Genomic DNA, 13458 nt, shown 5'->3' with positions numbered 1-13458 from the left:
AGGAGTTGGAGGCTGCAGTGAGCTAGGATTGCACCACTGTACTCCAGCCGGGGCGACAGAGCAAGACCCTGTCTCTAAAATAATAATAGTAATAATTCTAAACTCTCCAGACACATGGGCACAGGCCTCTGGTCCTTTGTCTGTTTTGCCTTCCAGAGCATTCCAGGAGCCATCATCCCTCTAACCGATCCCAGTGACCTGGCCCTGGCTCAGCCCCTGTACACTTGCACCTCAGCTGCTGCCTCTGGTATGGCTCCTGTGCTGGTCCAGAGGAGTCTTTCCATTACAGACTCTGTCCAAGTCCCTCTCCTGCTCACACACTCTCCATGGCTCCCTATTACCCTTAGAACAAAGTCTAACTCCTTAGCACATCTGTGACTCCCCTTTTGCCTCCTCCTATCCTGGACTTTTTAATTCTTTGTAAAAGACTCAACATTCATTAATTTGTGCTGTGCCCTTGGATTAGAAAGTCTTTTTCATGTCTAACGAACCCTTCTACCTCTGAAGCCCAGCTCCAGAGACCCCCTCCTCCAGGCAGCCTTTCTTGAAGTCCCAGATATAGCCCTTGCTTCCCCTTTTGGAAACCTCTCTCCCAGCCTCATCCCTCCCTCTTTCCAGCTCTGACCCTAAAGCTCTGACTGTCCCAGGCTGGTGACTCCTCAGGAACCGGGTGGGGGCTGAATACAGGGGGTGGGGGTCGAGCAATTGGCCGATCAGGCCCCCTTCCTGACCCTGAGGTCCAACCGCCTGGCGAGTCTCAGACTCTTTGGGGATTTCCTGCAGCCTCTATAAATAACCCCCATGGCTGCTTCCCACAAACCACCTCACCCTTCTTGGAAAAAAAGGATTGTAGCCAAGGACCTCAGGCCAGCTGTGTGCCAGGGCCCCAGGGAAGGCAGGCGGGGCCCCAGCATCCTGTCCAAAGAGCATCTCCAATCCCACCCAGGCACAGGCCCAGCTCACCCCTCCTGGGAGCCTTCAGGACCCTCCCCACTTCAAGCCCACCCCTCACGCCCAGATCTACATTATTGCTTTTCTTCTCTGGGCATCGGTTTGGTTTCCTGATGGGGCCAATAGTAACATCTGTGGACTCAGCTCATGGTGTGACCCTTTCCACTCTGGCCACCGCCCCTCCAGCCCCAATTTGTTGATTTGGTTGAACAAGCAAGGAAATGAACAAATAGTGACATACTGCCAGGAACCCTGTAAATAAAATCAGGCCTGGGTCTCCTCTAGTTGGGTGGTTGGGAAACTCTGGTGGCCTCCTTTGGCCCTTGTCATGCCCTCTGTCTGCCCGGGATGTCTCCCAGGCTCTGTGTCCCCTGAAACCAGAGAGTTTCTATCTTCAACCACTGGAGGTGGAGATCTTTTTCTTTTTTTTTTTTTTTTAATGTGAGATGGAGTCTCACTCTGTTTCCCAGGCTAGAGTGTAGTGGCGCCATCTTGGCTCACTGCAACCTCCGCCTCCCAGGTTCAAATGATTCTCCTGCCTCAGCCTCCCGAATAGCTAGGATTACAGATATGCACCAGCACGCCCGGCTAATTTTTGTATTTTTAGTAGAGACGGGGTTTCACTACGTTGGCCAGGCTGGTCTCCTGACCTCAGGTGATCCACCCACCTTGGCCTCCCAAAGTGCTGGGATTACAGGCGTGAGCCACCGCGCCCGGCCCTGAGGTCTCCTTCAGTTGGGTGGTCAGAAACTCTGCGGGCCTCCTTAGGCCCTTTTCGTGCCCTCTCTCTGCCGCGGATGCCTCCCAGGCTCTGTGTCCACTGAAATCAGAGTTTGTATATTCAACCACTGGAGGTGGAGATCTTTTTCTGATTCCAGAAAAGATCCTGATTCTCTTCGAGACTCAGTTTCCACCCCAGTCAGGGGAAGTTAACCATTCACATGCCACCAGGTGAATGCGGAAGGCCTAGATCCGCTGAGGGTGGGGCACCGGGAGCGCTGATGGGAGGATTGCTGGGGACCGCCTCACTTAGCGCGACGCGCCCTCTGCTGGTCGGTCCCCGCCACGTCAGGCTCCCCGAAGAATCTCAGACGAACCTCTGCCTATCAGACCCCTCCATCCATCCCTTCTCCAATGGTCTCCCTCCTCTTTCTCCTCCTTTCCTCTGCTCCAGCCACTCTGACCACCTCTGGCCGGGCGCGGTGGCTCTCGCCTGTAATCCCAACACTTTGGGAGGCTGAGGCGGACAGATCACTTGAGGTCAGGAGTTTGAGACCAACCTGGGCAACATAGCAAGATCCTGTCTCCATGAAAAAAATTTAAAAATTAGCCGGGCATGGTGGTTGTGGTCCTAGCTATTCAGGAGGCCGAGGTGGAAGGATCAACTGAGCCCAGGAGGTTGAAGATTACAGTGAGCCATGATTGTACCACTGCATTCCAGCCTGGGTGACAGAGTGAGACCCCACCCCAACCCCCCCCCAAAAAAAGGGCCAGGCATAGTAGCTCACACCTGTAATCCCAGCACCTTGGGAAGCCAAGGCAGGAAGATTGCCTGAGCCCAAAAGCTTAAAACCAGCTTGGGCAACATAGTGAGAACCCATCTCTAAAAGAAATTTAAAAATTAGCTGGGCGTGGTGGCGCATGCCTGTAGTCCTAGCTATTCAGGAGGCTGAGGTGGGAGGATCACTTGAGCCCAGAAGATGGAAGCTACAGTGAGCCATGATCGAGCCACTGCAGTCCAGCCTGGGTGAAAGGGAGAGGCCTTGTCAAAAAAAAAAAAAAAAAAAAAAAAGGTCGGGCGTGGTGGCACATGCCTGTAATCCCAGCTACTTGGGAGGCTGAGGCAGGAGAATTGCTTGAACCTGGAAGGCGGAGGTTGCAGTGAGCCACAATCACGCCACCGCACTCCAGCCTGGGCGACAGAGCAAGACCCTGTCTCAAAAAAAAAAAAAAAAAAAAAGCAAACAAACCAACAAAAAAACCTGACCATCTCACTATTCCTTGAACACACCGCGAAGTTCCTGAATCAGTGGGATATGTAATCCAGTGAAATATGTGTCAGTGGGATATGCATATGAAGGGATTTGCATATTCAGTGCCCTCTGCCTGGGGTGCCCTCCCCAGACTCCTCCATCTGACATCCTCACCATTCAGATCTCAACACTCATCACCTCTGCCAGGCAGCCCACTTTAAGTTGCCTGACTAGGTCACTTCTCCTCTTTATGAGCTTCAAAGAAGCCATCAGGCCAGGCACGGTGGCTCACACATGTGATCCCAGCACTTTGGGAGGCTGAGGTCTCAGGATCACCAGAGGCCAAGAGTTTGAGACCAGCCTGGGCAACACAGCAAGACCCCCATCTTTACTTAAAGAAAAAAAAAAAAAAGGCTGGGCACGGTGGCTCACGCCTGTAATCCCAGGCATTTGAGACCAGCCTGGCCAACATGGTGAAACCCGTCTCTACTAAAAATACAAAAATTAGCCAGGCGTGGTGGCACACGCCTATAGTCCCAGCTACTCGGGAGGCTGAGGCAGGAGAGTCGCTTGAACCTGGGAGGCAGAGGTTGCCAGTGAGCTGAGATCATGCCACTCCACCCTGGGCAAAAGAGCAAAGACTCTATCTCAAAAAAAAAAAGAGCAGCCATCAGGCCTCACTGTAATGACCTCTTTCTTGTCTCTTCTTTTCGTTGTTGTTTCGAGACAGAGTCTCGCTCTATCGCCCAGGCTGGAGTGCAGTGGCGTGATCTCTGCTCACTGCAACCTCTGCCTCCCAGGTTCAAGCAACTCTCTTGTCTCACCCTCCTGAGTTACTGGGACCACAGACGTGTGCCACCATGCTTGGCTAATGTTTGTATTTTTTGTAGAGATGGGGTTTCACCACGTTGGCCAGGCTGGTCTCAAACTCCAGGCCTCAAGTGATCTGCCCACCTTGGCTTCCAAAATTGTTGGGATTACAGGCGTGAGCCACCACGCCTGGCCTCTTGTCACTTCTTTAATGTGAACAGGGACCAAGCCTGTTGCTCCCCTCTGTGACCCCAACATCCTGCCTGCTGCACAGGAGGCCCTCAGCAAACTCAGATTTGGAGTCAAACAGACCTGTGTTCAAACCCCAAAGCTGGGGAAACTCCAGGAAGTAACTATTCCTGTGAGCCTCAGTTTTCTCATCTGCAAAACTGGAAGAAAATAGCCACAACATCGTGCTGTGGTGAAGATTCAATAAAATGATGTGTACAATGCTGGATGCAGGAGTTTGATGAATATTCACGGAGTGAGTGAATGAATGAATGAATAAAGATTCAGCTTATAGAGGGAGAAAGACCCCTAGGTTTTGCCAGTCAGATTTTTGTTTGTTTGTTTATTTGTTTTGAGACGGAGTCGGACTCTCCCTCTGTCGCCCAGGCTGGAGTGCAGTGGCACGGTCTCGGCTCACTGCAACCTCTGCTTCCCGGGTTCAAGCAATTCTCCTGACTCAGCCTCCCGATAGCTGGGACTATAGGCGCATGCCACCATGCCCAGCTAATTTTTTGTATTTTTAGTAGAGATGGGGTTTCACCGTGTTAGCCAGGCTGGTCTCGATCTCCTGACCTCGTGATCCGCCCACCTATGGCCTCCCAAAGTGCTGGGATTATCAGCATGAGCCACTGCGCCCGGCCTTGCCAGTCATTTTTAAGATACAAGAGGTTGTCCTGGTGTGGTGGCTCACACCTGTAATCTCAGCAGTTTGGGAGGCTGGGGTGGGAGGATCGCTTGAGTCCACGAGTTCAAGGCCAGCCTGGGCAATATAGGGAGACCCCATCTCTATAAAAAATAAGAAATTAGCCAGACATGGGATATGGTAGTGCAAGGTCAGGGTCTCAAGACTATCCTGGCTAACACGGTGAAACCCTGTCTCTACTAAAAATACAAAAAATTAGCCAGGCATGGTGGCGGGCGCCTGTAGTCCCAGCTATTCAGAGGCTGAGGCAGGAGAATAGCATGAACCCGGGAGGCGGAGCTTGCAGTGAGCCGAGATTGCGCCACTGCACTCCAGGCCGGGCAACAGAGTGAGACTCCATCTAAAAAAAAAAAAAAAAAAAAAAAGGTGGGTGTGGTGGCTCACGCCTGTAACCCCAGCACTTTGGGAGGACAAGACGGGCAGATCTTTTGAGGCCAGGAGCTTGAGACCAGCCTGGGCAACATGACAAATACCCATCTCTACTAAAAATACAAAAGTTAGCCAGGTGTGGTAGGGTACACCTATGATCCCAGCTGCTCGGGAGGCTGAGGCACGAGAATGGCTTGAGCTCAGGAGGCAGAGGCTGCAGTGAGCTGAGATCACACCACTGCACTTCAGTCTGGGCAACAGAGCAAGACTCTGTCACACACACACACACACACACACACACACACACACACACACACACACTTTGGGAGGCCACAGGTGGGCAGATCACAAGGTCAGGAGATCAAGACCAGCCTGGCTAACACAGTGAAACCCCATCAAAAAAAAAAAAAAAAAAAAAGAAGACTAAAGACTAAAAAAGGAATGAGGCCAGGCACCGTGGCTCACACCTGTAATCCCAGCACTTTGGGAGGCCAAGACAGCAGGATGGCTTGAGTCCAAGAGCTCAAGACCAGCCTGGGCAACATAGTGAGACCCCCCATCTCCATAATTCTGTTTTTTTTTTAAAAAGAAATGACAATTTGTAGAGCAATGAACACAATACCATTTATATATGATACACAAGACAAACATATTTGAAAGGTACATCCACAAGTATGCAAACATTCAAAGTTCTGGAAAGACACACATTAAGCCATGACAACCACAGAAGGGCTAAGGAAAATTTCCATGTTGAAACACTTCTGGGGCCAGGTGTGATAGCTCACGCCTGTGATCCCAGCACTTTGGGAGGCCAAGGTAGGCAGATTACCTGAGGTCAAGGAGTTCAAGACCAGCCTGGTCAACATGGTGAAACCTTGTCTCTACTAAAAATACAAAAATTAGCCTGGCGTGGTGGTGTGCGCCTGTAGTCCCAGCTACTCAAGAGGCTGAGGCAGGAGAATCACTTGAACCCGGGAGGTGGAGGTTGCAGTAAGCCGAGGTCGCACCACTGAACTCCAGCCTGGGTGACAGAGCGAGACTCTGTCTCAAAAAAAGAAAAAAATTAGCCGGGCATGCTGGCACATGCCTGTAATCCCAGCTACTCAGGAGGCTGAGGCAGGAGAAGCGCTTGAGCCCCGGAGATGGAGGTTGCAGTGAGCCAAGGTCGCACCACTGCACTCCAGCCTGGGCAATAGACAGAGGAGGGAAGGGTAGGGGAAGGGGAAGGGGAAGGGGAAGGGGAAAGGGAAAGGGAAAAGGAAAGGGAAGGGAAGGGAAGGGAAGAAAATAAACACTTCTAGATCACCTGAGTTTTTTTTACATTCCTTTGGTATTTGCAAAATAAATAAAAAACTACGAAACAAATATACTGAGATCCTCCTATCTCCATCCCAACCCGGATGCCCCAGCATCAAGGGTCGAACGGGACCTCCATTCAGCCCCATTCCAGGGCCTGAATCTCCAGGGAGTCCCTGCAGGGATCTCACTACCTCTCAGCTGTGTTGCTTCACTATTTGAGAATCAAGTTCTTTCCCAGGCGAATGAGAATCCCAATTGGCCTAAACTGTTTCCAGATCCCCCGAGGCTCCTGGGTCTCCACGCAGCTTGGGTGCGACTTCCCTGGATCCCGTCACTTGCCCACACAGAAGTCCTGGAAGATGATGTCCAGGATCTCCTCGGTACCCCCTCCACCTGTGAGCCGGGTCAGGTGACCCCGGGCCACCCGCAGCGCCTCTGCCGCCAGGGCCAGGTCTTTTGACTGCTTGTAGTGGCCGAGGGCATCCAGGCAACCCTGGAGGTGGTGCTGGTGCCTTGCTCGGGTCAGCAGCGGGGGATCTGTGGACGGGTCCCCACACCTGGAAGAGACAAGAGACATGGTCTCTCCCGACCTTTTACAACCATCCCTTGAAGGGGAAATGGTTGTACCCATTTTGTAGGTTCAGAAATTGAAGTTGAGGGACCCACACTTAAACTGTGGGTCAGGGGAGGCTGGGAGTGGGAGGGGGCTCACACTGCAGCTAGCTCCTTCCTCAGCGCCTCCAGGAGGCCGTCCAGCCCCTCTCCCGTCAGACAGGACAGCAGCAGGTGCGGGGGCAGGTCAGGACCGGGACCTGGGCCCTCCGGGGACAGCAGGTCCGACTTGTTCAGCACCAGGAGGAGGCGCTGGCTGCTGTCACTGGGGCTCTGGGCTCCCACAGAGGCTACGACGGTGGCCAGGAAGTTGCAACTGGAGGGAGAGGCCAGGTCAGAAGCATCCAGCATGGCCAGAATGAGGTCAGCCTGCTCTAGCCTGCGGGAGCAAGGTCAACTGAGCGGGGATCCCAGGTTGAGCAATTGAAGGCACTGGGTGGAGGGACAGTTAGAGGGGCCAGGCAGAGCACTGGGGGAGCTGCGAAGCGTGAGGTCGGGAGGGAGGAGTAGAGTACCAGGGGACCGGCAGAATGTTGGGGGCCCAAGCCGAGCACAGGGGGTGGGGCAGAGCAAGAGGGGCGGGGCACAGTGCAGGGGGAAGGGCAGAGCAAGAGGAGCGGTCACGGTGCGGGAGCGGGGCAGAGCAGGAGGGGCTGGGCACAGTGCAGTGAGTAGGGCAGGGCAGGAGGGGCGGGGCACAGCACAGGAGGGCGGGGCAGAGCAAGAGGGGCAGAGCACTGTGCAGGGGGAAGAGCAGAGCAAGAGGGACAGGGCACAGCACAGGGGCTGGGACAGAGCAAAAGGGGCCGGGTACAGCACTGGAGTGGGGCGACCATGAGTGGCGGGGCAGAGCAAGAAGGACCAGACACACCACAGGGTAAGGGGTAGAGAGCACCAGGGGTGGGGCAGAATGTAGGGGGTGGACAGAGCACAGGGGATGGGATAGACCGCAAGGGGCAGAGCGGAGTGCCAGGGCGGGACAGAGCACGAGAGGGCGGGGCAGAACGTGAGGGCTGGGCGGAGGGCTTAGGGATGAGAAACATGTCCGGAGGGCCGGGGGCAGGACTTAATCAGAACTAAATCACTGGCCGGGCACAGTGGCTAACGCCTGTAATCCCAGCACTTTGGGAGGCCGAGGCAGGCGGGTCACCTGAGATCAGGAGTTCGAGACCAGCCTGGCCAACATGGTGAAACCCCCATCTCTACTAAAAATACAAAAAATTAGCCTGGCATTGTGGTGGGCGCCTCTAATCCCAGCTACTCGGGAGGCCCAGGCAGAAGAATCACTTGAACCCGAGAGGCGGAGGTTGCAGTGAGCCGAGATTGTACCACTGCACACTCCAGCCTGGGCAACAAGAGCGAAACTCCGTCTCAAAAACAAAAACAAAACACCAGGCCAGGTGCGGTGGGCTCACAACACTTTGGGAGGCCGAGGCTCAGGAGTTAGAGACCAACCTGGCCAACATAGTGAAACCTCATCTCTACTAAAAATACAAAAAAAAAAAAAAAATAGTTCGGCGTGGTCGCTCCCGCCTGTAATCCCAGCTACTTGGGAGGCTGAGGCAGGAGACTTGCTTGAACCCGGAAGACAGAGCTTGCAGTGAGCTGAGATACCGCCACTGCACTCCAGCCTGGGCGACAGAGCAAGACTCGGTCTCGGAGTAAAAAAAAAAAAAAAAAAAAAGAACCAAATCCCTGAGATCCATGCTTGATAGGGCTTAGCAGGTTCTCTGATTCAGGAAGAATGAAAAATAAACGCAACAGGGAGAAAAGGCAGAGAAAGGGCCCCGCGTTCCCCTCCCATCACCACCCTGTCCGCCCACCTCTCCCGGGCGCGCCGCACGCCCTCCTGCTCCACGGGCCCCACGCCCTCCCGCAACCCAGCCGTGTCGCTCAGCAGCACAGGAAATCCGGCCAGGTCGACTGGGGTCTCCAGCACGTCACGGGTGGTCCCTGGCTCCGGGGACACGATGGACACAGGCTTCCGACCTGGGGGAGGGTCAGAAGAAGAGGAGAGGGTGGAGACAAGGGAGCTCCTCCCCCAGGTTCTACCCCATGTCTGGAGGGAGCTTTAGACCTGAACAACTAACTCAATAACCCAGCTCTTGGCCCCGCCCCTGGCACTAGGCCCCGCCCCCTTCCCGCCGCCTACTCACTGAGCAGGTTCACTAGGCTGCTCTTGCCCGCATTGGGGGGTCCAGTGACCACTACGTGCACCCCTGAGCGGAGCCTCTGCCCGCGCCTGGCATCTCGTAGATGTGCACCCAGGGCCACCTGCAGTGCCCGTACTTCGATGTCGGCTGTGGGTGAGAGAAGGCAGGCAGAGAGAGACAGTGAGGGGAGCCTTTGAGGGCTGATATGAGGTGTCTTCCTCCCCCACCACCAGGTAGACCCACCTTGCTCCAGGACCCCCTCCTCCAGGTTGTCATCCTCGCCGAAATCGATATAGGCCTCCACGTGGGCCAGAGCCTGGCGGGGCAGGGAGAGCAGAGGTGGTGTGTGCACCCAGAAACCCACCTTCCCACACCCAATTTGTCCAGCCCGACTTCAGGGGCCAGAATGGCGGCTCATAGGCCGGAAGCTTTCACGCAGGGAATGAATGCGGGATTGAGAGGGGGTCTCATGCAGGGGTTGCACAGATGGGGTCTCTGAGGGAGAGAATGGACAAATGGGGGACTTGCTTTGGTGAGGGTCTCGGCCCAGCCACGGCAGAGGTGGCCCAGCTCTCCGTCCAGCTGCCTGAGGGCCTGCCGCCGCTGCGCCTCTGTTTCCGCGTGGATAAGGTCCGCCAGCCCCTCCACTTCGGTCAGGTTCAGCTTCCCATTGGCGAACGCCCGTCTGGTGAACTCGCCTGCCTCCGCCGGTCGAAGCCCTGGCACGCTGCCTGCAGGAAGGTCCCAGTCTGACACCCCCTGGTCCCCACCCAGGCCCATTGGGAGGACCAAGCATCTCACCCAACGCTGCAACTCACCCAAGGCCTGCAGGACGCCGCTCACCACTGCCGGGCCTCCATGCACGTGGAACTCCACGCAGTCCTCACCGGTGAAACTCTGGGGACCTAATGTGACAGACAGGTGACAGGAGGACAGCACAGCCAGTGCAAACCCTTGGAAGGGGGAAACTGAGTCATGGGACCTACAGGAGGCTCGGAACCTGGGGACCCTCACCTGGGAACCAGAGCACCAGTGCGCGGTCCAGAGGCTCCCCGGAGCGGGGATCGCTGAGCAGGCGCAGGCTGGCGTGGCGAGCAAGGGGCAGGTCTCGGGGTGCTGTGAGAATTCGGAGGGCGTGGCCGCTGGCGGGGCCGCTGGTCCGGATCACTGCGATGCCGCAGCGGCCTTGGCCAGAGCTTAGCGCGAAGATGGTGGCGCCGGAGCCGGGGGCTGGTGCGCCGCTGCTCCGGCGCGTGCACAATCTGGAACCGGAGGGGAGGCGAATCAGCGCACCTGGGAGGCTCAGCCTCAGTGTCAAGTAGACCGAGGGCTCGATGATCGCGAGATGCTCCAGGTGGGGGGGTTCTGCGGCTGGGGGATGCACAAATTGGATGTTCTGAAGGCCGAAGGGTGACCGGATTAGGGACTGTGAGGCCAGAAGGAGACCCAGATATGGGCTCTGCCGCAAGGGTCATGAACGATTGAGGCACGGAAGAACGCGAATGATTGCTCTGCCGCAGGGAATTGGGCCCCTAAAACCCAGGGAGTGGGTCTGGGGTCCAAGCAGCACCCCAAGCTGTCGCACCCCTTCCCCTGTAGCCCCACCTGCGAGGCCCACGTGCCGCTTGGGCCGCCAGGGTCCAAAGCCCCCGCCACATGGATTTACAACCTGCGACCCGCCTGCCCGACCTGCCTGTGTGGCTTCAAGTCTGGGCAGGGGGCCCCGCCCACTCCGCGGCTTGACTAGTAAAGTGCTCAACTATTCTCGACCACCATTGGGTATCTTAGGATACGTCCTGCCCACCGTCTGAAGATACTCGCTTCCATTGGCTGGTGCAAGGGAGAGCGGGAGCGGGAGGCGGTATGGAGGTAGGTGTAGCGAAATGTTGTTCCCCGGGCAACATGAGACCAAATTTTTAGGGTCCTAGCGCAGCGAGGCTGACAATAGGAATAAGGAATGGAAGAAAGGACAGAGTTTGGCACAGGGCAGTGCAAATTACAGCGAGGGGAGGTTTTGAGTCCCGCATTTTCCATCTGCTCACTCCGCAGCCTTAGGCGTGGCAAGGACCTATGTGCGTTCAGTTTTCCCGTTCAAGAAAGGAGGGACTACACCTCTTTACGTTCAGGTTCAGACCGGAAACTCAGAGCATCTCGGTGACCGGGAGGGACGAGTACTGGAGAACCCACGCCCTGATCCAGGGAAAATCTTGCCCGAACTTCTGGAAAGAGTCCTACTTGCTTTTTCCGGAACTCTCCAGATTCTCTCCCCTCCCCAGCGTTCCCTTCTGCCGTTCCCTCGGCTTCGGATGCCCTTCCTCATTTGACAAACTCGTCTTCAAGGCCTAGCTCCAAGATCCCCTCCTCCAGGAAGTCTTCCTGGAACCCCCAGCACAGCCCTCTCTCCACTGTGGACTTCCTTGGCTCTCTGTCTCTCTGGTCCAGGTCTGCACCTGCAGAGCCAAGTGTCCGGTCAGTCTCTGGCTCCCCGAAAGCCAGAAAGGGGAGCCTCGGAGATTGCTTTCAGGTTAACCCAGGACAGCACTGAAACTCGGAATAAAGCGCTGATGGTGGAATTCCAGGCACTGGCTGGGCGGGGTCTCCGGGAGCGCCTTCGCATGGCGGATTCTCTGGTTCTGGATCAGAGCGGGCGGGCGGCGCACTTGCGTGTTAAGAAAAATCTGTCTGACAGAATAGAGTTCTAATACCCCCTTACCTCGCCCTGCTCAATATTTTTATTTACTTTATTATTTTATTTTATTTTATTTTTGAGACAGGGTCTCACTCTGTCGCCCAGGCTGGAGTGCAGTGGCGCGATCACGGCTCTTGCAACCTCCAACTTTTGGGCTCAAGGGATCCGCCCGCCTCAGCCTCCTGAGTAGCTGGAACCACAGGCGCGAGCCACCATGCCAGTCTAACTTTTCGGTGTTTCTTTTTGTTTGTTGTTTTTGTTTGTTTGTTTTGTTTTCGTTTTTTTGGTGGAGACGGGGATCTCACTACGTTGCCCAAGCTTTTTTTTTTTTTTTTTTTTTTTTTTGAGACGGGGTCTCGCTCTGTCGCCCAGGCTGGAGTTCAGTGGCGCGATCTAGACTCACTGCAACCTCCGCCTCCCAGGTTCAAGCGATTCTCCTGCCTCAGACTCCCAAGTAGCTGGGACTACAGGCGTGCGCCACCATGCCTGGCTAATTTTTTGTATTTTTAATAGAGACAGGGTTTGGCCATGTTGGTCAGGCTGGTCTCGAACTCCTTGCCTCAGGTGATCTACCCGCCTTGGCCTCCCAAAATGCTGGGATTACAGGCGTGAGCCACTGCGCCCGGCCGAGGCTTTAATATTTTAAGTTGTAAAATAGGAACAAATGATGACATATTTATATTTCATCTGCCATTCTCTAGTTGTTACATCTGTAACAAGCTAGTTATTACATCTGTAACAAGCTAGTTGTTACATCTGTAACAAGCGTACAGCAAGCGCCTACTGTGTGCTCGCATTGAGAACCAGACCTGGCCCCTCGTTCCTACCCTCGCTGGGCTTTCAGTCTAACAGACTGAGCTACTCAGAATAGTCAGGGGTTGGCCAAATGCCAGGTAAAACCCAGGTCGCCCAGCTAAATGTGAATTTCAAATAAACAATGAATAATTTTTTAGTACTAGTATGTCCCATGTAGACATAGGACATAGAAACATTTATGTATGTATGTATATATATGTATTTGAGACAGGGTCTCGTTCTGTCGCCCAGGATGCAGTGCAGTGGGTGTGATCTCAGCTCACTGCAGCCTTGACCTCCTGAGCACAAGCGATTCTCCTGCCTCAGCCTCCCAAGTAGCTGGGATTACAGGTGCGCCCCGCCCAGCTAACATTTATTCTTTTATCTGAAATTTACATTTAACTAGACGGACTGTATTTTTATTTGCTAAACTTGACAACTCTATGGGATCCTCTCCGAGGTTACATCCTGAAGGGAGTCGGTGTTAACCGGACGAAGAGTGCATGAGGAGTGTTCTAGGCAGCCAAATGGTGCGTGCAAAGTTCCTAAGCAGGGCTTGCTGTAATTATGTATCACAGCCCTACTGGGGTGGTTGAAGTTATTGTCACCAGGAATCTTCCCCAACCGGCCCGCCCCTCCCACGTCCTCCCTTAGTCAACTTACGCCCATCTCACATTCCAAACAGCGTCTCCAGGGTCCGGAGTTTGCAGATGGGGAAACTGAGGCTCCGAGGCGGGGACCAGAAGAAAGCATGGGTGGGGACAAGTTGGAGAATGCACCATCAGTGCGGGCGGGGACCAGCAGCAGGGAGCGAGGTAGGCGGGCGAGAAGGAAACCCAGAAAACAACACGGGCGGAGACGCGAACCAAAGAACTA

General features: G+C 54.8%; 1 protein-coding gene across 4 annotated transcripts, besides 4 other annotated features; it reads right to left on the bottom strand.

The window, feature by feature from the left end:
- Nucleotides 1316-2277: an enhancer, noted in NCBI's record as "H3K4me1 hESC enhancer chr19:17456900-17457861 (GRCh37/hg19 assembly coordinates)". NCBI's record gives its function as "activates a minimal SCP1, AML or CMV promoter by ChIP-STARR-seq in primed H9 embryonic stem cells {active_cell/tissue: H9 hESC(primed)}" and the evidence as "EXISTENCE:reporter gene assay evidence [ECO:0000049][PMID:30033119]".
- Nucleotides 5637-13386, bottom strand: GTPBP3 (GTP binding protein 3, mitochondrial). 4 transcript variants are annotated; one of them, NM_001195422.1, is made up of 9 exons: nucleotides 13246-13386; nucleotides 10113-10360; nucleotides 9917-10003; nucleotides 9627-9829; nucleotides 9342-9414; nucleotides 9102-9245; nucleotides 8769-8934; nucleotides 7046-7324; nucleotides 5637-6890 (listed from the first exon to the last, which is right to left on the bottom strand). In NM_001195422.1, the coding sequence occupies exons 1-9, from the start codon at nucleotides 13362-13364 to the stop codon at nucleotides 6665-6667; spliced, it is 1545 nt and encodes a 514-aa protein (NP_001182351.1). In that variant the 5' UTR covers nucleotides 13365-13386; the 3' UTR covers nucleotides 5637-6664. The 4 variants fall into 4 exon arrangements, with proteins under 4 accessions (NP_001182351.1, NP_116009.2, NP_001122327.1 ...); NM_032620.4 differs by lacking the exon at nucleotides 13246-13386 and adding an exon at nucleotides 10704-10815; NM_001128855.3 differs by lacking the exon at nucleotides 13246-13386 and adding an exon at nucleotides 10704-10815 and having other exon boundaries at nucleotides 7046-7261.
- Nucleotides 9831-10502: an enhancer, noted in NCBI's record as "H3K27ac-H3K4me1 hESC enhancer chr19:17448675-17449346 (GRCh37/hg19 assembly coordinates)". NCBI's record gives its function as "activates a minimal SCP1, AML or CMV promoter by ChIP-STARR-seq in primed H9 embryonic stem cells {active_cell/tissue: H9 hESC(primed)}" and the evidence as "EXISTENCE:reporter gene assay evidence [ECO:0000049][PMID:30033119]".
- Nucleotides 10503-11174: an enhancer, noted in NCBI's record as "H3K27ac-H3K4me1 hESC enhancer chr19:17448003-17448674 (GRCh37/hg19 assembly coordinates)". NCBI's record gives its function as "activates a minimal SCP1, AML or CMV promoter by ChIP-STARR-seq in naive H9 embryonic stem cells {active_cell/tissue: H9 hESC(naive)}" and the evidence as "EXISTENCE:reporter gene assay evidence [ECO:0000049][PMID:30033119]".
- Nucleotides 11175-11846: an enhancer, noted in NCBI's record as "H3K27ac hESC enhancer chr19:17447331-17448002 (GRCh37/hg19 assembly coordinates)". NCBI's record gives its function as "activates a minimal SCP1, AML or CMV promoter by ChIP-STARR-seq in naive H9 embryonic stem cells {active_cell/tissue: H9 hESC(naive)}" and the evidence as "EXISTENCE:reporter gene assay evidence [ECO:0000049][PMID:30033119]".

The sequence above is a fragment of the Homo sapiens genome, chromosome 19 (genome assembly GCF_000001405.40).
Source record: "Homo sapiens chromosome 19, GRCh38.p14 Primary Assembly".
NCBI classification, from domain to species: domain Eukaryota; kingdom Metazoa; phylum Chordata; class Mammalia; order Primates; family Hominidae; genus Homo; species Homo sapiens.
Note: the sequence above shows the minus strand (reverse complement) of the source record. Positions and strands in the feature narration are given on the sequence as shown.